This window comes from Homo sapiens, chromosome 15 (assembly GCF_000001405.40).
Source record: "Homo sapiens chromosome 15, GRCh38.p14 Primary Assembly".
Classification (NCBI taxonomy): domain Eukaryota; kingdom Metazoa; phylum Chordata; class Mammalia; order Primates; family Hominidae; genus Homo; species Homo sapiens.
Genome location: NC_000015.10, coordinates 75,554,806 through 75,580,681, shown reverse-complemented (window position 1 = coordinate 75,580,681; position 25,876 = coordinate 75,554,806). Strand labels below are relative to the sequence as shown.

At 46.4% G+C, this 25,876-nt stretch overlaps 1 protein-coding gene across 1 annotated transcript in view, besides 4 other annotated features; it reads left to right on the top strand.

The window, feature by feature from the left end:
- Window positions 1,010-1,499: a silencer, noted in NCBI's record as "silent region_6674". NCBI's record gives its function as "represses an Ori minimal core promoter by ATAC-STARR-seq in GM12878 lymphoblastoid cells {active_cell/tissue: GM12878}" and the evidence as "EXISTENCE:reporter gene assay evidence [ECO:0000049][PMID:35858748]".
- Window positions 1,010-1,800: a biological region, named in NCBI's record as "H3K27ac hESC enhancer GRCh37_chr15:75871223-75871821".
- Window positions 1,202-1,800: an enhancer, noted in NCBI's record as "H3K27ac hESC enhancer chr15:75871223-75871821 (GRCh37/hg19 assembly coordinates)". NCBI's record gives its function as "activates a minimal SCP1, AML or CMV promoter by ChIP-STARR-seq in primed H9 embryonic stem cells {active_cell/tissue: H9 hESC(primed)}" and the evidence as "EXISTENCE:reporter gene assay evidence [ECO:0000049][PMID:30033119]".
- Window positions 1,367-25,876, top strand: part of PTPN9 (protein tyrosine phosphatase non-receptor type 9) — a 116,065-nt gene continuing 91,555 nt past the window's right edge. The window contains exon 1 of the mRNA NM_002833.4: window positions 1,367-1,968. Within this exon, the coding sequence (NP_002824.1) occupies window positions 1,906-1,968 (63 nt within the window). The 5' untranslated portion in view covers window positions 1,367-1,905. The remainder of the gene's footprint in view (window positions 1,969-25,876) is intronic.
- Window positions 1,760-2,159: a silencer, noted in NCBI's record as "silent region_6673". NCBI's record gives its function as "represses an Ori minimal core promoter by ATAC-STARR-seq in GM12878 lymphoblastoid cells {active_cell/tissue: GM12878}" and the evidence as "EXISTENCE:reporter gene assay evidence [ECO:0000049][PMID:35858748]".

Sequence of the window (25,876 nt, the reverse complement as noted above, 5' to 3'; positions counted from 1 at the left end):
CCGGGCGCGGTGGCGGGTGCCTGTAGTCCCAGCTACTTGGGAGCCTGAGGCAGGAGAATGGCGTGAACCTGGGAGGGGGAGCTTGCAGTGAGCCGAGATCGCGCCACTGCACTCCAGCCTGGGTGACAGAGTGAGACTCCGTCTCAAAAAAAGAAAAACAAAAAAGCCAGGCGCGCGGTGGCTCACGCCTGCCTGTAATCCCAGCACTTTGGAAGACCGAGGCGGGCGGATCACAAGGTCAGGAGTTCGAGACCAGCCTGACCAACATGGTGAAACCCCGTCTCTACTAAAAATACAAAAATTAGCCGGGCGTGGTGGCTCGCACCTGTAATCCCAGCTACCCAGGAGGCTGAGGCAGGAGAATCGCTTGACCCCGGGAGGTGGAGGTTGCAGTGAGCCGAGATCGCGCCACTGCACTCCAGCCTGGGCGACACAGAGACTCCGTCTCAAAAAAAAAAATAAAAAAAAAATCATAGGAGCATCACAACTCACAGCACCTTCCTGTTGTCTGAAGGCCCCTCCTTTGGGTCCCTCAGGACTGGCTCCAGGGCTTCAGCCTTGGAACTAGTTGTGGACTTTGGGTCCCTTTGGAATATTTATCTTTGGCTTGGAATAATGCAACAACGTACCAGACCCAGCCTTGCCTTCTCTATGCCCCATTCCTCCCCAAATGACTCCAAGACTGTACCCCTAATCCTGAACCCTTTGCTGCACTTGCCCTAGTGAAAATCAAAGGTCTGCAAAGGCCGCGTCATTCCTGAATGATGTTCGGAGTCTGATGTCGTTTCTATGGGGGATTAAAATTAGCGACACTGGAGATGAATTACAGGGTGCAGCCAGTAAGGAGGGAGAGAGAGGGAGGCAGGTGCGATTCCTTCCACCTAAGCATCCTGGCCTGGCAGGCAACCTTTCCAGGGTCTTTCAGGCTGCAAGCGACAAATAGTTGAGGATTGTGGGTTTCTCACGCGTAGGTGGCAGCGGCAAGTTAACCCCAGGAGAGGTGCCAGTCAGCAGATAATTTGCAAACGAACGTATTCTCCTCCTCCTCCGAGGATCTGAGCCTCACGAAATACTCTTTTCTTCCTTTTTCTCCCTCCCGCAGTCGAGTTGCCTTCCGTCCAGCTAGGGTCCCCTCCCCGCCCGGGTCCCCTCCCCCTCCCGGTCCCCTCCCCCGCCCGGGCTCCTCTCTGTCTCCCCCTCCCGGACTGCGTCCTCGCTCCGCCGGGCCCTCCTCGCCGCCAGCTTGTGAATGAGACGCTCAGTTTCTCAATGGAGCCGCGGGGGGCTCGGGCGGCCGCGGGGCGGCCGCAGCGTTGGCCGTGAGTCAGGAGGGGGGCGCGTTTCCCTCGCTCCCTCTCCACTCCCTCCCTTTCGCTGCGGCCGCCCGCGAGGAGCCTGGCTGAGGCAGCCGCGCAGGTCGCAGGGCCAGCGTCCGCGAGGACGGCCCGGCTGGGCGGCCCCGAGCTCTGTGGCGCTGTGGAGGAGCGGGAGCGCGGCCGAGGAAGCGGGGCGCCGAGGGGGTCGGCGGCCTTCGGGAAATTTCCGCCGACCCTTCGCTCCCGGCTCTAAAAGTTCCTGATTTCCTATTTCCTTTTAAATCCCGAGTGGCTGTTAGCTCTTCGCCTGCACTTTTTCTTCCCCAGGAGATAAGGGGGAGTGTGAGGAACGGAGCGAATAATATAAAAAAGGATTTCCTCCCGGAAGAGAGCGGCAGTTCGGAGAGATTTTTCTTAAGGAAGCAGAAGCGGCGTTTGCGGCCGCTGCAGGCGCCGGGCCCTGCCGGCCACACTATGCGCGAGCCGGCCCCGGGCTGCTGAGGCGCGGGGACGCGGAAGCGGAGGCCGAGCGCGCCGGGCTCCCGCGCTCGCGAGCGAGTTTTGTCCGCCCGGCGGCGGTGGCGGGGGGATGGAGCCCGCGACCGCGCCCCGGCCCGACATGGCGCCGGAGCTGACCCCGGAGGAGGAGCAGGTAAGCGGGCCCGAGGCCGCCGCGTTGGGTGTGTCCGGGCCCCCGAGGCCTACGCCGGCCTCTGCCTCCCGAGTGCCGGCTCTTTGCAGCCACGGGGCCGCAGCCCCCCGCTCCCGTGCCCGGCTCGCGGGCCTCCCTCACCGGCGACCGCGCCCCAGGCCGCCACCCCCTCGTCGGGGGACCCACGGGACCCTACTCCCGTTCCCGCCGCTTCTTTCGCCGAGGCTTACCAGCCTCAGACGGTGCCCTCCGCACCCCACCCCCTATTCCAGGGGCAAAGTTCCTTGGATCCAGGGGCCTTCTTCCCGAGATTTGCAGAACCGCTGCTTGCCCCCGGCCCTTCCACTCCCTTGTAAATGTTTTCCGTGAGGGTTTGTGGCTTTTGAAGGGCAGGAAAAGCCCCAGTTTGGGGGGTGCTTCCTGTGGGGATTATCTCCCTTCCCGAGGAGAGGGCTGAGAGTATTGGATGCATAGATGCCCTAGATTTTCAGAGGAGCCTCTTAGGTTTCTCAGGCCCACTTGGGCAGGTTATGGAAGATCCAGCCCTTCTCGTGTTCCTAAAGTCCCTGGCCTTGACCCCCCTATTCAGCTATCCCAGACGGGGCGCATCTCCTCACCCGCGCTTCCCTACCCTCGTCTCATCTGACTGTCTCCATCTTTCTGAAGCTTACATTGAGCTCTATTGTTCCTTAAAAGCCTATGACCTTTAGTTTTCAGAAGGAAGTGGTTTGCTGTCTCATTTTGGGGGCCCTTGTAACTTTCCCTCCCGCACATTCCAGCTGCGGAGACAGGGACCACTCCTGAGGAAGATGGGAAGGTCTGCTAGCTTAGACTGGGAACCCTACGGGCTTTTCGCTGTCTCTTCCTTGGCACTGCCCATACCCCGCCATAGCTATGCTCGATTATAGTCATAGTCTGATTCCATGTTATAAATAAAAAAAATAAAAATAAACATGAAAAAAGAAAAAGGCAAACCATGCTGGCAACCCATTTCAAGCTCTACAGCTCTTGTTTCCAAGGACCACATTTGCTAGCACAGCCTCTAGTGTGAAGACAGTCCAGTTTTACAAACTATTATTGGCTAATGGGCTTGTTGACCTGATTTTTTAAAGTCCTTGTCTTTTCTCCTTATTTGTGGAGATGACATTTTTCTATTTGGCCTCAGGCCACGGTTTTGTCTTTTGACACCTGGTGATGAAATCTGTATGGGAAAAAAATTTAAAAAGAATTCTGCTTTGTACAAGCAGTGGTAATGAATGTCCTGGTAACTGCAGTTGGATGTTAATAAAATGCTAGTCAGACCCTAGTGCAAGCAGGTGGCCAAGGAGCCCATTCTGCCAGAATTGGGAAGTACTTCAGTACTAAGATAGGATGTGTTGGCTGATTTTAAAGGGACAAAATCTCTTTCTTTCATCCTTTTCCTTGGGTCAGTCAGATTTCTGTTTTTAAGACTTAAAGCCATCAGTATTCTATGCAAATAGCATCCGTTGCAAATTTGAAAACTAAAACCAGGAAAAGTAAATATTAAAGTATTGATAGTATTGACATGGTATTGGCTTTACTTTGTACATAGTGCATACACATATATACAGATGTGTTTAACTAGTAAAAACCTTATCTTTTACCCTGAATTGAATGTGATGGGCATTAACAAGGACTAGGATGGAAACGGCAAAATGTTTATTAAAGTCAAGAGATTGTGTGTGTGTGTGTTTTTAAAATCTTATCTCTTTTTTCTACAAAATATTATTTTTTTACAAGCATTTCAAAATATTGAAACAAAAGCAGTATAGTTCTAATTATGGTAATGCCTAATGTTACCATATTTTAGTTTAATATCACATAAGAGTACTCTCTTTTTTTTTGAGATGGAGTTTTGATTTTTTGTTTGTTTGTTTGTTTTTTTGAGACAGAGCCTCGCCCTGTCATCTAGGCTGGAGTGCAGTGGCCTGATCTTGGCTCACTGCAACCTCTGCCTCCAGGGTTCAAACGATTCTCCTGCCTCAGCCTCCCGAGCAGCTGGGATTACAGGCGCCTGCCACCATGCCCAGCTAATTTTTGTATTTTTAGTAGACGCGGGGTTTCACCATGTTGGCCAGGCTGGTCTTGAACTCCTGACCTCATGATCTGCCCGCCTCGTCCTCCAAAAGTGCTGGGATTACAGTCGTGAGTTACTGCGCCTGGCCGGAGTTTGGGTTTTGTTGCCCAGACTGGAGTACAATGGCGTGATCTCGGCTCACTGCAACCTCCATCTGCCGGGTTCAAGCGATTCTCCTGCCTCAGCCTCCTGAGTATCTGGGATTACAGGTACCCACCATGCCCAGCTAATTTTTGTATTTTTAGTAGAGATGGGGTTTCACCGTGTTGGCCAGGCTAGTCTCATCATACTCCTGGCCTCAGGTGATCCACCCGCCTTGGCCTCCCAAAGTGTTGGGATCACAGGTGTGAGCCACTGCACACAGCCAGAAGTACCCTTTTGTTTTTTAACTGAGTCTTGCTCTGTTGCCAGGCTGAAGTGTAGCGTTGTGATCTCGGCTCACTGCAAACTCTGCCTCCCTGATTCAAGCGATTCTCCTGCCTCAGCCTCCCAAGTAGCTGTGACTTCAGGCGTGCGTGCCACCATGCCCAGCTAAGTTTTGTATTTTTACTAGAGACGGGGTTTCACCATGTTGGAGGATGGTCTCGATTTCTTGACCTCGTGATCCACCCGCCTTGGCCTCCCAAAATGCTGGGATTACAGGCCTGGGCCGCTGTGCCCAGCCAAGAGTACTCTTTTTTTTTTTTTTTTTTTTTTTGAGATGGAGTCTTGCTCTGTTGCCCAGGCTGGAGTGCAGTGGCGCAATCTCGGCTCACTGCAAGCTCCACCTCCTGGGTTCATGCCATTCTTCTGTCTCAGCCTCCCGAGTAGCTGGGACTACAGGCGCCCGCCACCACGCCTGGCTAATTTTTCATATTTTTAGTAGAGACGGGGTTTCCCCATGTTAGCCAGGATGGTCTCGATCTCCTGACCTCATGATCCACCCGCCTTGGCCTCCCAAAGTGCTGGGATTACAGGCGTGAACCACCGCGCCCAGCCAAGGGTACTCTTAAGATTTATTTAAAATATTAAAATTAAACAGCAGTACATAAGTGTTAGCCTTATCAAAGTGGTCCTCATGGGAACTGACACATTCACTCCGTAATGCTGCCCTATTGCTCAAACCAATTTAACATTTATTTGGAGTTGATTTAGAAGCTTGTGGCAGAATCTTTGAAATTTCTTCAGTGTAGGAAAATCCTTGTACTTTTGAGAGTCAGTTTGATTTCTGTAAATAGCAAAAAATCTTTTAGAGCCTTATTTAAAGTAGGGGATCAAATTCGGTTTACACATTTTCATGCAAAAGTGTAGTGCAGTTAGGCCCTTTTTGGCCTGTGTGAACAGCCTTAAAGATATTTCTTTTCGGCCGGGCGCGGTGGCTCACGCCTGTAATCCCAGCACTTTGGGAGGCAGAGGCGGGCGGATCATGAGGTCAGGAGATCGAGACCATCCTGGCTAACACAGTGAAACCCCGCCTCTACTAAAAATACAAAAAATTAGCCGGGCGTCGTGGCGGGCGCCTGTAGTCCCAGCTACTCGGGAGGCTGAGGCAGGAGAATGGCGTGAACCCGGGAGGCGGAGCTTGCAGTGAGCCGAGATCCCGCCGACAGAGCGAGACTCCGTCTCCTCTGTCTCAAAAAAAAAAAAAAAAAAAGATATTTCTTTTCTTTCTTTCTTTTTTTTTTTTTTTTTTTGAGACAGAGTTTTGCTCTTGTTGCCCAGGCTGGAATGCAATGGCGTGATCTTGGCTCATTGCAACCTCTGCCTCCCGGGTTCGAGCAATTCTCTTGCTTCAGCCACCCTAGTAGCTGGGATTACAGGCGCCCGCCACCACACCCAGCTAAGTTTTTGTATTTTTAGTAGAGATGGGGTTTCACTACATTAGCTAGGCTGGTCTCGAACTCCTGACCTCAGGCAATTCACCCACCTCAGCCTCCCAAAGTGCTGGGATTACAGGCGTGAGCCACCGCGCCTGGCTCCTTAAAAATATTTCTGAAGCAGAATACCTCCTGAGTGGTATCTCCTTCTGTACAGTCATATGAATCAGAAACCCAGAAGTCTTGGACACTGCTGTCCCTCTGCCCTTGTGTACAATACAGTGTTAGATTTTCCTGAATATCTCTTGAATTCATTGGCTTCCTTCCACCATCACTGCCATCACCCTATTCGAAGCTACTATCCTATCCTGACAGGACTTTTGTTTCCCACCTGGTCCATCCATATTCCAGAATCCAGAAGCCAGAGTCCTGTTGAAAATCTGATTTCATCTTCCCCTCAGCCTGCCTGCCCCGCAAAGAAGCATTCATAAAACTCTTTAGTGGCTTCTGGTTGCCTTTTTTTTTTTTTTTTGTGGAGACAGGATCTCACTTTGTCACCCAGGCTGGAGTCCAGTGGTGTAATCACGGCTCATTACAGCCTCAACCTCCTGGGTTCAAGCCGTCCTCCTGCCTCAGCCTCCCAAAGCCTTAGGATTACAGGCCTTGTCATTGCTCTTGAGATCAAATTGCAACTTTTGAATGTAGGCTATATATCTAGGCCCTTGAGCAGCCTAGGCCCTAGCTAGTTCTCACACTTGTCTCTGCTCCATGCACACTGGCCTTATAGTCCTGCCTTCTTTCCTTGTTTCCTCCTGCTTACAGGGTCTTTGCAGGAGCTGCTTTCCTCCATCTGGAAACACCCCCCTTTGTTAACCTCCTCTTCATCCTTCAGCTCTCAGGTTTCACCTCCTTGGAAGGCCTTCCTTGATTTCAGTTAGATTAGATTCTAACCTAATAGGTTCTCAGAGCACCATTTACCTGTCATTCACATCACTTATCACAAGTTAACACTTATTTGTGTGATTACATGACTGCAAGCAAGCTCTATGAGGGTTGGGATTATTTTCGCTTTTGCTCCCCATCATATGCACATTGCCTAGCATAATGACTGACATAATGACTGGCACTTACGGAAATACTTGCAGAATGAATGAAGAGTAGTTGTACTCTTGATTTGTATACAGGCAGCATCATCTTCTTTCAGAGTGGCTTAAAAATAAGCACATTACATATTTTGATTTTTTTCCCCATCAAATGGCAATATATACTTTGATTTATATGCTGTGTATGCATTGATATAGTTTTTGAAAGTCATGATTACTTAGTCTCATTTTCTGTCTAGGCATGTGTTGAACGGATACAAATCCTCATTTGTAACTTTGGTGTTTCTTGTTTTTCAGCTCCTCAATAATTATAAAGCCTACAATTGGGCTACGAGGACAAATATGATGTTTTTGCTTTTAAGGAGCTTATATGAATAACAATCGTAACAGTATCTTTTCTAAACTCCTGCTTTCAGTCAGGCTCTGTGGTGGGCATTTCACATGCAATTAATCGTCCCTCCCAAGATTGGAATTACTACCCTCACTTTGCAAATAAGAAAACTCAGACTGAGAGAAGGAAATTGCCCAAGGTCACATAGTTAACAAGTGATGTAGCCATGATTTCCACCCAGGTCTAGGTTTTCTGCCTTCACTGCCAGTGTTTCCTCTTTTACACTACATTACTTCCCATGAAGCCATTAGCCAATTTACTTAGGTGCCTAAGTGGGTATAAAATAGCTAATTTTGTGGGTTTTGGTATTGATATATGTGTTTGGTTTTGTTAATGCTTCTTAAAATATAGTTTGAAAAGTACAGATGAAAAGATACAGAAAACCTTTACTCAGCTGTGTATTGCCAGAGGAAACATACTGTATACTCTGTGCAAGAAATTATGATGAAATTACTATAGGAAAAAAATTTGTTCCTTAAAACAGAGTTGTCAACTCTCCATTTCAAGGTGTGGTCACAACTACAATAAAATTTTATTTTCTTTATATCTTCTTGTTCTTTTGCACAAGAAGGCTTGTGAAAGCCTTTCTTTTTCTTTCTTTCTTTTTTTCTTTTTTTTTGAGACAGAGTCTCGCTCTGTCGCCCAGGCTGGAGCGCAGTCTCAGCCCACTGCAACCTCCGCCTTCTGGGTTCAAGCGATTCTCCTGTCTCAGCCTCTCGAGTAGCTGGGACTACAGGCATGCACCATCACACCCGACTAATTTTTGTATTTTCTTTTTAGTAGAGATGGGGTTTCACCATGTTGGCTAGTCTGGTCTCCAACTCCTGATCTCAAGTGATCAGCCTGCCTTGGCCTCCCCAAGTGCTCGGATTACAGGCATGAGCCACCATGCCTGGCCGTAAAAGCCTTTCTTAATGGGCTGGCAGTTTGGCAGTGTGAAGGACAATTTCTACATATAAGTATTAATCTTCATTGTCATTATGTTATTGTGTTTTGAGACGGAGTCTTGCTTTGTTGCCCAGGCTGTGGGCAGTGGCACGATCTCAGCTCACTGCAACCTTTGCCTCCTGGGTTCAAGCGATTCTCATGCCTTGGCCTCCCGAGTAGCTGGGATTACAGGCACCTGCCACCACGCCTGGCTTATTTTTGTATTTTTAGTAGAGATGGGATTTCACCATGTTGCCCATGCTGGTCTTGAACTCTTGACCTTAGGTAATCCACGTGCCTCAGCAGCCCAAAGTGCTGGGATTACAGGTGTGAGCCATCTCACCCTGCCAAGACTCTTAACTAGAACTCTCACTAGATTAAAATTCTGTATAATTATAGCTGTTCAGGGTATTTTGGTTTTGCATGGATATCCCAGTGATGATTGATAGGATAATAGAGTAGTTTTCGAAAGTACTTATGTTTCTGTTAATAGTTTTATTTTTATTTTTTATTTAGTTTTTTGAGACGGAGTCTTGCTCTGTCACCAGGCTGGAGCACAATGGCACAACCTCCACCTCCTGTGTTCAAGCGATTCTCCTACCTCAGCCTCCCAAGCAGCTGGGACTGCTGGCATGCACCACCATGCCTGGCCAATTTTTATATTTTAGTAGAGATGGGGTTTCACCATGTTGGCCATGATGGTCTCTATATCCTGACCTCGTGATCCACCTGCCTCTGCCTCCCAAAGTGCTGGGATTACAAGCGTGAGCCACCACCAATTTATTTTATTTCATTTTTTAAATAATAGAGATAAGGTGTCACTATGTTGCCCAGGCTGGTCTTGAACTCCAGGGCTCAAGCAGTCTACCCACCTTGGCCTCCCAAAATGCTGGGAGTACAGGCGTGAGCCACCACGCCCAGCCTGAAAATTATTATTATTTTTGTTTCTTTTTTTATTTTAATTTTATGTTTTTTCTTTTTTTGAAAATTCTTAAAGTTTATGTTATTTAGACCTTACAATGTTGTGAGGATTAATAAGGAGATGCATGTAGAGCACTTAGCCCAATGCTTATATAATAAGTAGTCAGAAAAGTTAGCCATTATTATGATATTCATCATTGTTTTTTGTTTTTTTCTTTTTGAGACAGTCTTGTTCTGTCACCTAGACTAGAGTGCAGTGGCATGATCTCGGCTCACTGCAACCGCCGCCTCCCGGGTTCAAGCAATTCTCCTGCCTCAGCCTCCCTAGTAGCTGGGATTACAGGTGCCCGCCACCATACCTGGCTAATTTTTGTATTTTTAGTAGAGACGGGGTTTCGCCATGTTGGCCAGGCTGGTCTCAAACTCCTGACCTCAGGTGATCAACCTGCCTTGGTCTCCCAGAGTGCTGGGATTACAGGCATGAGCTACCGTGCCCGTCCTCATCGTTTTTGAATAGCGAAAAATTTTAGAACCATGTTAGCTTAAGCCAATTACAAGGGGAAAAAATATTCATATCCACCCTGGGGACCATCACCTAGTACAGGTTCTTATGAATTCCAGAAAATTATTATCTTGCATTTTTATAGTGTAGTTTTTAAAAGCCTATTCTAATTGTATGGTGTGGTTTTTGCTTTTTTTTTTGGAGACAGGATCTTACTCTGTCACCCAGGCTGGAATGCAGTGGCATGATCATAACTCATTGCAGCCTCGACCTCCCAGCCTCCCAGGATCAAGTGATCCTTCCACCTCGCCTCCCGGGTTCCTGGGACTACAGGCATGCTACCACACATGACTAATTTGTTATATTTTTTGTAGAGGGGGGTTTTACCATGTTGCCCAGGCTGGTCACGAACTCCTAAGCTCAAGCAATCCTCCTGCCTCGGCCTCCCAAAGTGTTGGGATTACAGGCATGAGCCACTGTGCCCAGTCTGGTTTGGATTTTTGTAATGGAATCTTTTAAAGCTAAAAATTTAACTGCTTTAGCGTGGACTTCAGAGATCTTTGGCATTTTTCCCAAAGGCAAGGGTTTTGTCCCATTTCTTGCGGCCAAGAACTTCCCTTTTCCCACAGTCTTACATGTCCTGTGCTAAATGTCATCTGTCTCCCTGGAAGTTACCATACGTCAAGGACCAAATGATTTATGATGTTAAATTGAGGTCTTCTACAGAGACAAAGAAGGAAGGAAAGGTGAAGAACTCTTATTATTTTCATTATTGCTGATAGTTTATGATACTGTAAGTAACAATTAGGTAAAACCTCATTTGGATGTGAGAATTTTGCTGTATTAAAAATTTCTGGTTGGGTGTGGTGTGGCTCATGCCTGTAATCCCAGCACTTTGGGAGGCCGAGGCGGGTGGATCACAAGGTCAAGAGATCAAGACCATCCTGGCCAACATGATGAAATCCCGTCTCTAGTAAAGATACAAAAATTAGCTGGGAGTGGTGGCGCTCACCTGTAGTCCCAGCTACTCGGGAGGCTGAGGCAGGAGAATTGCTTGAACCGGGAGGCAGGGGTTGCTGTGAGCTGAGATCGCGCCACTGCCCTCCAGCCTGGTGACAAAGCGAGAATCCATCTCAAAAAAAAAATTCTGAGCACAAGGGTCTTGGACTTTAGTTTTGTGAATATTAAGTGGCCTGGAGGTTTTCTCTAAGGAACCCAACCTAGTACTTATGAATGAATTGAAAAGACCCTCCTTTAGAAAGGAGCTGAACTGTTTTTTTTTTTTTTTTTTTGAGATGGAGTTTCACTCTTGTCACTATCTCCGCTCACTGCAACCTCCGCCTCCTGGGTTCAAGCGATTTTCCAGCCTCAGCCTCCCAAGTAGCTGGGATTACAGGTGCCCGCCACCACGCCCAGCTAATTTTTGTATTTTTTGTAGAGATGGGGTTTCAGCTTATTGGCCAGGCTGCTCTTGAACTCCTGACCTCAGGTGATCAGCCCGCCTCGGCCTCTCAAAGTGCTGGGATTACAGGCGTGAGCCACCATGCCTGGCCAGGAGCTAAACTGTTTTAAAGAGGTAAAAGTTAAGACTCATTGTGAGTATATTTTAGTTTCATTTTCTGACTTTTATGCCTTTATTGTCTTGGAAAAGACATAGTAATTTTGGAGTACTTAAACTTTATTTTCTAAATATTAAGCCCCATTTTACGGCAGTGTGGCTGGTCCATTGCAGTGCCAAGATTAGAAGTCATAGAACCTAACCCTGATTATTTGTTCAGATACAACCTCTAGTGTAATATCAGCCATTTCACTGCTTCTGTCTACCATCCTGCCTTGGTATATCAGACAATTCTCGTACTTTCTTTTTCCTAATCAATTATTTTAACATTTTCCCCCTAAGCACACCTCCATGCGAGATCTTGGTTGCTCTTCCTGACCACTAAAATAACCACTGTTTTCTATTCCTATTCTTCTAGAATAAGGGAAGATGTTCCTAGAAAAGGTAGTTTAGCCTACACTTCTCAGTGCTGGAGGGCCTGGCATCAGCCCTTTTATATCTGATTTTGAAAAGGCCCCTTAGGAACCTAACCGAGTTAGCTTCTTAAGCGTTTGGTTCACTTTTTAAAATTTTTTTAGTAAGAGACAGGGTCTTGTTCTGTTGCCCAGGCTGAAGTGCAGTGGCTTGATCCTAGCTCGCTGCAGCCTGAAACTCCTGGTCCCAAGTGGTCCTCCTTCCTCAGCCTCTATAGTGGCTGGAACTACAAGCATGTACCACCATGCCTGGCACATTTTTTTTTTTTTCTAAAGAGATGGGGGTATTGCTTTCTTGCCTAGGCTGGTCCCGAACTCTTGTGTTCAAGCAGTCTTCCAGCCTCGGCCTCCCAAAGTGCTAGGATTACAGACATGAGCCACTGTGTCCATCCAGCATTAGGTTGTTTTTTTTTTGTTTTGTTTTTTTTTTTTTTTTTGAGACAAGGTCTCACTCTGTCACCCAGACTGGAGTGCAGTGGCATGATCATGGCTTGCTGAAGCCTTGACCTCCCTGGCCCAAGGAATCCTCCTACCTCAGCCTCCCAAGAAGCTGGGACTAAAAGCGTGCACCACCACACCACCATGCCCAGTTAGATTTTTTATTTTTTATTTGTTGTAGAGACAGGGTCTCGTTCTGTTGCCCAGGCTGGTCTTAAACTCCTAGGCTCAAGTGATCCTCCAGCCTCGGCCTCCCAAAGTGCTGGGATTACAGCCATGAGCCACTGCACCTGGCTGGCATTAGGTTGTTAAACATGGACATGGAGGGTGCGAACAGGAGGCAGAGAAGCTCCAGAACTCATGGGAAACCTTATTTATTAAGGATTGCTGATCTCTTAGGTCCAAACTATAAAATGGTAAGACCGAAACAGTAGATTAGAGATGATTTTTCTCTTTAATTTATGCTTCTGAGATAAGCATTTCAGTTTTTGTTTTCTTTTTTTTTTTTTTTGAGACGGAGTCTCGCTGTGTCGCCCAGGCTGGAGTGCAGTGGCACAATCTCGGCTCACTGCAAGCTCCACCTCCCGGGTTAATGCCATTCTCTTGCCTCAGTCTCCTGAGTAGCTGGGACTACAGGCGCCTGCCACCACGCCCGGCTAATTTTTTGTATTTTTAATAGAGACAGGGTTTCACCGTGTTAGTCAGGACGGTATTGATCTCCTGACCTTGTGATCCACCCACCTCGGCCTCCCAAAGTGCTGGGATTACAGGCGTGAGCCACCGCGCCTGGCAGCATTTCATTTTTCCTTTGGGAAAGGCCGTTTCTGTAGTATGTACCAGTTTCCTCTGAAATACCAAATCCATCCACAACATACCGGCACAGTACTTGTCACTTTTTTCAGTGTAGGTAGCACAGGTAAGTTTATTGAATTATTCTGAAGCCAGAATTTATTTCTACAGTAATTTCTGGGCAGGTTCTAAAAAAGTCATCTGTGACTTTAGGACTGAAGTGTTTGGGGATGTTCATCCATTAGTTACTTGTTCATTGCTTGAACACCTAGCTAATCTTTACCTTTGCATTTGTTTTGATGTGAATCATTATTACAGATACACGTCATTATGATAATATGATGATATTCATTATATACATCATTATTACAACCAATCTTTTAAAAAATGGGCTATTTAAGGCTGGGCGCGGTGACTCACGCCTGTAATCCCAGCACTTTGGGAGGCCAAGGCAGTCGGATCACCTGAGGTCAGGAGTTCAAGACCAGCCTGGCCAACATGGCAAAACCCCGTCTCTACTAAAAATACAAAGAAATTAGCCAGGCATGGTGGTGTACGCCTGTAATTGCAGCTACTCCAGAGGTTGAGGCAGGAGAATCACTTGAACATGAGAGGTGGAGGTTGCAGTGAGCCGAGATCACGCCACTGCACTCCAGCCTGGGCGACAGAGTGAGATTGCATCTGAAAAAAAAAAAAAAAGAAAAAAAATGGGCTATTTAGATGATCTACAATGATCATATGTTTCTGTTGCCGAGGCTGGAATGTGGTGGCACAGTTATGGCTGACTGCAGCCTTGACCTCCCAGGCTCAAGCGATGCTCCCACTTCAGCCTCCTGAGTAGCTGGGACCACAGGCCCGTGTCATCACATCCAGCTAATTTTTTTTTCTCATTAATAGAGATAGGACCTCACTATGTTGCCCAGGCTGGTCTGAAATTCCTGAGCTCAAGCTATCCTTCCGCTTCAGCCTCCCAAAATGCTAAGATTATAGGCATGAACCACTGTGCCCAGCCCATATGTTTCTTTCTTTTTTTTTTTTTGAGACAGAGTGAGACTCTGTCGCCCAGGCTGGAGTGCAGTGGTGCGATCTCAGCTCACTGCAACCTCCGCCTCCTGGCTTCAAGCAATTCTGTCTCAGCCTCCCAAGTAGCTGGGACTACAGGTGCCTGCCACCATGCCCAGCTAATTTTTAAATTTTTAGTAGAGATGGGGTTTTGCCATTTTGGCCAAGCTGGTCTCAAACTCCTGACCTCAGGTCATCTGCCCACCTCGGCCTCCCAAAGTGCTAGGATTACAGGCATGAGCCACTGTGTCCCGCCACTTACGTTTCTTTTATAATGAAAAATAACACTTTCTGAAAAGTACTATGTGTTCTTTACACGTTTAAGATTATGCTATTAAATGCTGAGATCTCAGTTTTTAATATTATTGCAAATCTGGCCTTTTTATAAACTAGAAGATTTATAAGTAAAACCTAGGCCTTTTGGGATGTGATGGTGATGACCCTTTGGTAGATCTCAGGAATCCCTCAGCTTCCTTTGTGGCTCTCGGTGTTTTATTTAACGTTCCTGAATCTGTTTTGTCTTATTTCCTTAAGTTTTTTGGAGATCTGCTTAATTAAGTAAAATCCCTTGTATTTACAAAATGCTCAATAAATAGTGGTAAGTATTCTTGATCTCTGTGATACAGGAAACTTTTCTTTTTCAGATAAGAATAGGAAGAAAAATGAAGAGTCTGACTTTGTAGCATTGAAATAAAAGATTTCAAGATAGCCTAAGAATTCTAACAGTTACCATGCATGAGTAATATACATAGCAGAGTACTGAGGCTACCTTAGCTCATTTTTTACTGTTAAGACTTTTTGCATCATCCATTGGTTCATTGGTTCATTTCTTCTTTCTAGGTTACACATTACCTTTAGGTGCACTGGTGGTGGTGGTCTGCTTCTGCTGCTGCTTTTCAGATAAAATATTAAAAGGTCATCTGATGACCTAAAAATGATTCGCAAATGAGTGCAAAGAATGATAGTTTGTATTATCTTCCATATCTTATTTAAACAGCCTTTATGAAGAAAATTATCATTCCATTGTTTATCTCTGGTTCCCTATCAGTATGATCCTCCCCCCAGAACATTTGTCAATATCTAGAAATTTCTTTAGTTGTCATGACTGTGGGAGGTGGTACTGGCATCTAGTGGATAGAGGTCAGGAATGCTGCTAAACATCCTCTAATGCATAGGACAGCTCCCTACAGCAGAGAATTATCTGGTCAAAATGTCAGTAGTGCCAGAGTTGAGAAACCATGGTTTATCTCTGAAAAATTTTGTAGTTAGGAACAGTTTGAAGTTTTCACTTTAAAGTTAAAGATAGGTCTTTGCTCAACACATTTAGTGTTTATGAAAATATGTGTCACCAAATACTGATTTCAGCAATTGACTTCTCATACTGAAAAGCTCTAGTCTAAAACCAATTGTTTTATAGCATAACCATCATAGGGGTAAAATGAGCCATTTCCACACCCTTTGCAGGGGTTTTCAGAGGTGGAGGGATTTTATTTAGCTTTTAAAAAATTATTATTATTATTATTATTATTATTATTATTATTATTATATATTTTTTGAGACGGAGTCTTTTTCTGTCGCCCAGGCTGGAGTGCAGTGGTAGAATCTCGGCTCACTGCAACCTCTGCCTCCCGGGTTCAAGCAGTTCTCCTGCCTTAGTCTCCTGAGTAGCTGGGATTACAGGCACGTGCCACCACGCCAGCTAATTTTTGTATTTTTAGTAGAGACGGGGTTTCACCATGTTGGTCAGGCTGGTCTCGAACTCCTGACCTCGTGATCTGCCCGCCTCAGGCTCCCAAAGTGCCGGGATTACAGTCGTGAGCCACCGTGCCCAGCCAAAATTTATTTTTATGTATTTATTTTTAATAGAGAGAGGGTCTTGTTGTGTTGCCCAGGCTGTTCTCAAATTCCTTGCCTCAAGGGATCCTCCTACCTTGCCCTCCCAAAGTGTTAGAATACAGGCATGAGCCACTGCACTCCAGATGGAGGGATTTTACATGAGAGAACACTACTGAGCTTTGCCATGGCATGATAATGTGGTGTCATATTTTTTTTTTTTTTTTTGAGACGTAGTCTCACTCTGTCGGCCAGGCTGGAGTCAGTGGCGCGATTCTGGCTCACTGCAAGCTCCGCCTCCCGGGTTCACGCCATTCTCCTGCCTCAGCCTCCCGAGTAGCTGGGACTACAGGCGCCCGCTACCACGCCTGGCTAATTTTTTTTGTATTTTTAGTAGAGACGGGGTTTCACTGTGTTAGCCAGGATGGTCTCAATCTTCTGACCTCCTGATCTACCCGCCTCAGCCTCCAGAAGTGCTGGGATTACAGGCGTGAGCCACCGCACCTGGCCAATGTGGTGTCATTTTTATTTTTCCCCTTCAAGTGTTTCTCTTTTTTAAAATTATTGTTTTTGGCCAGGCATGGTAGCTTAAGCCTGTAATTCCAACACTTTGGGAGGCTGAGGCAGGAGGATCGATTGAGCCCAGGAATTTGAGGTTACAAAGTTTACAAAGCTATGATTTTGCTGCTGCACTCCAGCCTGGGTGACAAAGTGAGACCTTATCTCTATTAAAAAAAAAAAAAGACATAATGTACATAATAATTATACATATTGTGATGTTTCAGTACATGTATACCTCCAAATGTTTCTGAGTGTTGCCCTGAAGTGTCTCTGTTCCCCTGATAATCACCACACAGTGTTATTTTTTATCAATTCTTTATCGTGTTAATGTCAACTGAGGATTTTTTTTAGATCATAAGCAGAAATATAGTTTGTTCATTCAAACTATATTTGAATTATCTGTTGGTATGTGCCAGGTCCTTGTATAGCAAGGTTGGAGCTCTCTATCCTTGAGGAATTGCTTTCTAGTTCTTTGAAGGCAGTTATTAAACTATAGAGTACCTGTCAAGGAGGAGGACTTGTTACGTGCAATGAGGACAGGGACTCGAACTTCTGAATTCTTAGTATATTTTGGAGGGTTCAAAATATGTTTGCTGACACATAGAATCAACCTTAGTGCCCATCAGCAGTTGACTGCATAAAGAAAATGTGGTACATATACACCAACCATGGAATACTACCGAGCCATAAAAAAGATCATATCTTTCTCAGCAAGGATAGAGTTGGAGACCATTATGCTAAGCAAACTAATGCAAGAACAGAAAACCAAATACCAGCCAGGGGTGTGGGCTCACGCCTGTAATCCCAGCACTTTGGGAGGCTGAGGCAGATGGATCCCTTGAGGTCAAGAGTTTGAGACTAACCTGGCTAAGATGCAAAACCCTTTCTCTACTAAAAATACCAAAGTTAGCTGGGCATGGTGGCAGGTGCCTGTAATCCCAGCTACTTGGGAGGCTGAGGCAGGAGAATTGCTTGAACCCGGGAGGCAGAGGTTGCAGTGAGCCGAGATTACACCACTGCACTCTAGACTGGGCAGCAGAGTGAGACTCCATCTCAAAAAGAAAAGAGAAAAAAAATGCCATACATTATCACTTATAAGTGGAATCTAAACATTAAGTACACATGAACACAAAGAAGGGAACAATAGACACCTGGGCCTACTTGAGTGTGGAGAGTGGGAGGAGGGCGAGGATCAAAAAGCTGTCTATTGTGTACTATGCTTATTACCTGGGTAACAAAATAATCTGTACACCAAACCCTGTGACACACAATTTACCTATGTAATAAACCTGCACATGTACCCCCTGAACCTAAAATAAAAGATGGAAAGAAAAACAGAAAACAAACTAAAATATGTTTGCTAAAGAATGAGTGAAACTTTTTTGAAATTGTTTATTCTTCACATAGCCTACGAAGCAGGTATTGTTTTGCTTAGGATGATTGTCTTTTTTTTTTTTTTTTTTTTTTTTTGAAACGAGTCTCGCTCTGTCATCCAGGCTGGAGTGCAGTTCACGCCATTCTCCTGCCTCAGCCTCCCGAGTAGCTGGGACTACGGGCGCCCGCCACCACACCCGGCTAATTTTTTGTATTTTTTAGTAGAGATGGGGTTTCACCGTGTTAGCCAGGATGGTCTCGATCTCCTGACCTCGTGATCCACCCGCCTCGGCCTCCCAAAGCGTTGGGATTACAGGCGTGAGCCACCGCGCCCGGCCTAGGATGATTGTCTTTAAGATATAGGGATGATATTCAGAGGCTTTCAGTAGAAGCGCTGAGACTCACTCTTCTGGTTAACTGCTGTCTCCAGTGCACTTCCTCTGCCTTTAACCATGTATGTTCGTGTATGACACACACACCCCAGAGATAGCTCTCCCTGGACATTTGTGGGTTCAACATTCCTGGTTTCAGCCACTCACAAGTTTCCCTGTAGAGGTGTGGCTACATTGTTCCCAGTTATTTATTGTTCCAAGATGTCACTGTTTAATGTACATTTACGTATGACAGAAATTATATGATTTAATGAGGTTAATGAAGTTGGGGAGTTCATATAAGCCTCTGGCTGTAGCTCTCAGAATAGAAGGTCTGCTCTTTGCCTTTATGAAAATCCATCTTGGCCAGGCGCAGTGGGTCATGCCTGTAATCCCAGTACTGTGGGAAGCCAAGGCGAGAGGATCATCTGAGGCCAGGAGTTTGAGACCAACCTGGGCAACACAGCAAGACCCCATGTCTACACAAGTAATAATAATAATAATAAATTAGCTGGGTGCGGTGGCTCACACCTGTAATGCCAGCACTTTGGGCTGCTGAGGTGGGTGGATTACCTGAGGTTGGGAGTTCGAGACCAGCCTGACCAACATGGAGAAACCCCATCTCACTAAACATACAAAATTAGCCTGGCATGGTGGCACATGCCTGTAATCCCAGCTACTTGGGAGGCTGAGGCAGGAGAATCTCTTGAATCCAGGAGGCAGAGATTGTGGTGAGCCGAGATCGTGTCATTGCACTCCAGCCTGGACAACAAAAGCGAAACTCTTTCTCAAATAAAAGTAATAAAAAATAAAATAAAAAATAAATTAGCCGGGCATGGTGGCACATATCTGTTGTTGGCTGATGTGGGAAGATCACTTGAGCCCAGGAGTTTAAGGTTGCAATGAACCATGGTCATGCCACTGCACTCCAGCTGGAGCCACAGTCTTATATATATACAGTTTAATCTCTCAAGTACCACAGTGAGTATAATGGGAAAGTATATTTCATATACTTGCCTATCAATATCTGGGACAACAGCTTTTGAAATTGTTTTTCCATGATACTTTCGTTTTGCCCATTTTTTTTTTTCCTTTTCTGTTTTTAAGCTAGATTTTTTTTCAACTTGGGTCAAATGTAAGAAAGTTGAGGAAGAAAATTTTCCAAAAAACGGAATTCTTTTTTAAGTAATTTTTTTTTTTTGAGATGGAGTTTTGTTCTTGTTGCCCAGGCTGGAGCACAGTGGTGTGATCTCAGCTTACTGCAACCTCCATCGCCTGGGTTTAAGCGATTCTCCTGCCTCAGCCTCCCAAGTAGCTGGGATTACAGGCATGCGCCACCGTGCCGGGCTAATTTTGTATTTTTAATATAGATAAGGTTTCACCATGTTGGTCAGGCTGGTCTTGAACTCCTGACCTCAAGTGATCCACTTGCCTCGGCCTCCAAAGTGCTGAGATTACAGGCATGGGCCGCCATGCCTGGCTTTTTAAAGTAATTTTTTTTTTTTACTCTCACTCTGTCACCCAGGCTGGAGTGCAGTGGTGTGATCTCAGCTCACTGCAACCTCAGACTCCTGAGTTCAAGCGATTCTCCTGTCTCAGCCTCCTGAGTAGCTGGGATTACAGGCACGAGCCACCATGCCTGGCTACTTTTTGTATTTTTAGTAGAGACGGCGTTTCACCATGTTGGTCAGGCTGGTCTTGAACTCCTGACCTTGTGATCCACCTGCCTTGGCCTCCCAAAGTGCTGGGATTACAGGTGTGAGCCACCGCGCCTGGCTTTAAAGTAATTAACAACAACAGCAACAAAATATAGATGGGTGTCTCACTGTGTTGCCCAGGCTGGTCTCGTGCTCCTGGGCTCAAGCAATCCTCCTCTTTTGGCCTCCCAGAGTGCTAGGATTACAGGTGTGAGCCTCTGCACCCAGCCAGGAAGTTATTTTTACTGCTCTTTTATACTTTCTATATTTTCCTGATTTTTTTCTTGGAATCATGAAGGAAAAGAGTTACTGAGAGAAAGGCCTGAAGACTTAAATGTAATATATGAGGACAATTAAACAGTTTTATTTGGGAATGACCATTTGCCTCACTAAGGAGGCTCTAGCTCTTCCATGCCTTGAAAACCCCAAAAATGAAGAAAAAATGGTATTTCTGGCTAGGTTAGGGACTTAGAAGTGGTGTAGCCAGCAAGATTAAAATATACAAGATTTTCCACATACTTTTGTTTTCAAAAATAACCTTTCTAGATTAATTTCTAAATGCTCTAGAGAAACCATTAGACATTTCCGGAAACTGAATGCCAGTGTGTGCCATTTTGTTTATGGGTAAAACAACGTTATTATGGAATTAAGTTATCAGATAAATTTTTTTTTTTTTTTTTGAGATGGAGTCTTGCTCTGTTGCCCAGGCTGGAGTGCAGTGGCACTATCTCAGCTCACTGCAACCTCCGCCTCCCAGATTCAAGCAATTCTCCTGCCTCAGCCTCCTGAGTAGCTGGGATTACAGGCACATGCCACCATGCCCAGCTAATTTCTGTATTTTTAGTAGAGATGGGGTTTCACCATGTTGGCCAGGCTGGTCTTGAACTCCTGACCTCAAATGATCTGCCCACCTTGGCCTCCCAAAGTGCCGGGATTACAAGCATGAGCCATCGTGCCCAGTGAGAAAGTTTTTAAAAAGAAAAAAATATTCATTTTTTTCTTTTCTTCAGCCACCCCAAATATTTTCTTTCTTCTTTTTTTTTTTTTTTTTGTTGACCATTCTTGGGTGTTTCTCGCAGAGGGGGATTTGGCAGGGTCATAGGACAATAGTGGAGGGAAGGTCAGCAGATAAACAAGTGAACAAAGGTCTCTGGTTTTCCTAGGCAGAGGACCCTGCGGCCTTCCGCAGTGTTTGTGTCCCTGGGTACTTGAGATTAGGGAGTGGTTGATGACTCTTAACAAGCATGCTGCCCTCAAGCATCTGTTCAACAAAGCACATCTTGCACCGCCCTTAATCCATCTAACGCTGAGTGGACACAGCACATGTTTCAGAGAGCATCGGGCTGGGGGCAAGGTCACAGATCAACAGCATCCCAAGGCAGAAGAATTCCTCCCAGCACAGAACAAAATGGAGTCTCCCATGTCTACTTCTTTCTACACAGACACAGCAACAGTCTGATTTCTCTATCTTTTCCCCACATTTCCCCCTTTTCTACTCGACAAAACCGCCATCGTCGTCATGGCCCGTTCTCAATGAGCTGTTGGGTACACCTCCCAGACGGGGTGGTGGCCGGGCAGAGGGGATCCTCACTTCTTAGACGGGGCGGCTGCCGGGCGGAGGGGCTCCTCACTTAGACGGGGCGGCCGGGCAGAGGCGCTCCTCACATCCCAGACGGGGCGGCGGGGCAGAGGCGCTCCCCACATCTCAGACGATGGGCGGCTGGGCAGAGACGCTCCTCACTTCCTAGACGGGATGGCGGCCGGGAAGAGGTGCTCCTCACTTCCCAGACCTGGCAGCCGGGCAGAGGGGATCCTCACATCCCAGACGATGGGTGGCCAGGCAGAGACGCTCCTCACTTCCCAGACGGGGTGGCAGCCGGGCAGAGGCTGCAATCTCGGCACTTTGGGAGGCCAAGGCAGGCGGCTGGGAGGTGGAGGTTGTAGCGAGCCGAGATCACGCCACTGCACTCCAGCCTGGGCAACATTGAGCACTGAGTGAACGAGACTCCGTCTGCAATCCCGGCACCTTGGGAGGCCGAGGCTGGCAGATCACTCGCGGTTAGGAGCTGGAGACCAGCCCGGCCAACACAGCGAAACCCCGTCTCCACCAAAAAAATACAAAAACCAGTCAGGTGTGGCGGCGCGCGCCTGCAGTCGCAGGCACTCGGCAGGCTGAGGCAGGAGAATCAGGCAGGGAGGTTGCAGTGAGCAGAGATGGCAGCAGTACAGTCCAGCTTCGGCTCGGCGTCAGAGGGAGACCGTGGCAAGAGAGGGATCGGGAGACCGTGGGGAGAGGGGGAGGGGGAGAGGGAGAGGGAGAGTCTCACTCTTGTCACCCAGGCTGGAGTGCAGTGGTGCAGTCTTGGCTCACTGCAACCTCCGCCTCCCAGGTTCAAGCAGTTCTCGTGCCTCAGCCTTCCGAGTAGCTGGGATTACAGGCGTGTGCCACCACGCCCAGCTAATTTTTGTATTTCTATTTTTTCTTTTTTTTTTGAGATGGAGTCTCACTCTGTTGCCAGGCTGGAGTGCAGTGGCGCAATCTCGGCTCACTGCAGCCTCCGCCTCCTGGGTTCAAGCAGTTCTCCTGCCTCAGGCTCCTGAGTAGCTGGCACTACAGGTGCAAGCAACCACGCCCAGCTAATTTTTGTATTTTTAGTAGAGACAGTGTTTTACCATGTTGGCCAGGATGGTCTTGATTTCTCGACCTCGTGATCCGCCTGCCTTGGCCTGCCAAAGTGCTGGGATTACAGGTGTGAGCGACTGCGCCTGGTCAATTTTTGTATTTTTAGTACAGATGAGGTTTTGGCATGTTGGCCAGGCTGGTCTTGAACTCCTGACCTCTGGTGATCCACCCACCTTGGCCTCCCAAAGTGCTAGGATTACAGGTGTGTGCCACCGCGCCCAGCCCATTTTCTTTCTTAGTCAACCTGAAGCTAGGTAAATGCTAGCCTTGGAGGTGATTTTTCAAGAAAATTAGAAGCAATCGTGAAAACTTGTCTTTTGAATGGAACTGCTAAACCATTTGAAGCTGGAAAATAGTCAGAACCTCTCATGTTGTCATGCTATCTTTACAGTGCTACAAGTATTGGTAAAAGCCCATATCAAAACTTGTGATAATAATAATAGCTAAGCCCTACCTACCAGGATGGTTAGAAGTAAAACAAAACAAAATGGGAAACAAGTGTTGGCATTGCTGTTAGGAATATAAAATGGTACAGCCACTGTGGAAAACACTTTGGCAGTTTCTCTAAAGATTAAAGGTAGAACTACCATATTACCCAGAAATTTCACTCCTAAGTATATAAAAGAATTGAAACAGAGCCTCAAAGAGATACTTGTGCACCCATGTCATAGCAGCACTATTCTCTTTTTTGTTTTTTTGTGTTTTTTTTTTTGAGACAGAGTCCCATTCTGTCGACCAGGCTGGAGTGCAATGGTGTGATCTCAGCCCTCTACAACCTCCGCCTCCCAGGTTCAAGAGATTCTCTTGCCTCAGACTCCCAAGTAGCTGGGACTAAAGGCATGCGCTACCACACCCAGCTAATTTTTGTATTTTTAGTAGAGACGGGGTTTCACCATGTTGGCCAGGCTGGTCTCGAACTCCTGACCTCAGGTGATCTGCCCACTTCAACCTCCCAAAGTGCTGGGATTACAGGCATTAGCCACTGCGTCTGATCAGCAGCACTATTCTCAATAGCCAAAGGTGGAACAACCCAAGTGTCCATCAACAGAAGAATAAACAAAATGGTGTATATACATATAATGGAATATTACTCGGCCTTAAAAGGAAGGCAGTCTTGATATATGCTATATACCATGATGGACCTTGGAAACATTCGGCTTCATGAAATAAGCCAGACACAGGAGGACAACTGTTGTGATTCCACTTGTTTGAGGTACCTACAATAGGTACATTCATAGGGACAGAAAGTAGAATACCAGAGGCTGTGGAAAGTTGGGAAGGGGGAATTATTGTTTAATGGGTACAGAGTTTTTGCTGGGTATGATAAAACAATTTTGGGTTATAGAAAGGTGCTAGTTACACAGCAATGTGAATTTATTTAATGCAACTGAATTGCATATTTAGGAATAGTAAAAATGATAAATATTGTTAGGTATATTTTACCACAATAAAGAAAATGCGGCCAGGTGTGGTGGCTCACACCTGAATCCCAGCACTTTGGGAGACTGAAGCAGGTGGATCACTTGAGCTCAGGAGTTTGAGACCAGCCTGGGCAATATGGCAAAACTCTGTCTCTACAAAAAAATACAAAAACTAGCCAGGTGTGGTGGCACATGCCTGTAATCCCAGCTACTCAGAAGGCTGAGGCAGAGACTTGCTTGAACCTGGGAGGCGGAGGTTGCAGTGAGCCGAGATTGTGCCACTACGCTCCAGCCTGGGTGACAGAGCGAGACCCTGTCTCAAAATAATAATAATAAAATAATAATTAAAAAAAAGGCCGGTGCAGTGGCTCACACCTGTAATCCCAACACTTTGGGAGGCCGAGGCAGGGGGGATCACGAGGTCAGGAGTTCGAGACCAGCCTGGCCAACATGGTGAAACCCCGTCTCTACTAAAAATACAAAAATTAGCCAAGCGTGGTGGTGGGCGCCTGTAATCCCAGCTACTCGGGAGGCTGAGGCAGAGAATTGCTTGAACGTGGGAGGTGGAGGTTGCACTGAGCCGAGGTTGTGCCACTGCACTCCAGCCTGGGCGACAGAAAAAAAAAATTGTTGATCTAGAGTAGTGCCTCTCTCTCTTTTTTTTTTTTTTTTTTTTTTTGAGACGGGGGTCTCGCTTTGTTTGTCATCGAGGCTGGAATGAAGTGGTGCAGTCATAGCTCACTGCCACCTCCATTTCCTGGGCTCAAGGGATCATCCTGCCTCAGCCTCCCAAAGTGCTAGGATTATAGGTGTAGGCTACTGCACCTGGCTAGAGCAGTGGTTCTTAAAGTGTGTTTCCCTGACCACCACCATCAGCATCCCTTGGGAGCTTGTTAAAAATGCAAAATTTTGGCCGGGCGCAGTGGCTTATAACTGTAATCCCACTACTTTGGGAAGCCGAGGTGGGTGGATTACTTGAGGCCAGTAGTTCGAGACCAGCCTGGCCAATATGGCGAAACCCCATCTCTACAAAAAATACATAAATTATCTGGGCATGGTGGTGCACGCCTGTAATCCCAGCTACTCAGGAGGCTGAAGCCCAAGAATTGCTTGAACCTGGGAAGTGGAGGTTGCAGTGAACTGAGATCACACCACTGCACTCCAGCCTGGGTGACAGAGCGAGGACTGTCTCAAAAATAATAATAATAATAATAATAAAATGAAAAGTAAATAAAAAACAAAAATGCACATTTTCAAGTCCTGCCCTAGGCCTGCTGAATCAGAAACTCCGAGGTGGGATCCAGTAATATGTATTTTAACGTCTCTAAATGCATACTCAAAGTCTGACAACCAGTGATCCAGAGAATATCTAGGGTGCTGTTGTTGATCAAGGAAACATCTAGAAGTGAATTTAGACATTCAGGTACAGTTGAGGAAGGGAAGTCTTGAATTTATAAATTGGCTCTGGAACTAGGTATAGAAGCAGTCTGAACTGGATGAAAGCTCCAGGAATCATTTGGTTCTGGACTAGAACTGAACTGTTCCCTGGAAGAGGAACAGCAAGGCAGACTTCTCAAAGACTAGCATTTATCATGATTTTTCTCATCTGAAGAAAGAGCAGAGTCTCTTGAGATATAGAAATGGAACCAGGATATTTGCATGGTTGCAAAGAGGGCATTGAGATACCTGATGTCCACTGCAGATGGCATTCCCTAGAGAGATGCTTGGCTTCCAAGGGAGTATTGAATGAAACAAGACCCAGGCTGTTCTGATTCAGCCAGGAAAACCTGCCAGTTTTGACAAGACCATTCCATAGGGGGAAGCTCATGTTACTCCAGTGTTAGTTGCCCTGAGAGTCTGGACATGTGAGTTAACAGATTTTACTGTCTGGGTTCTGCTGGGGAGCTGAT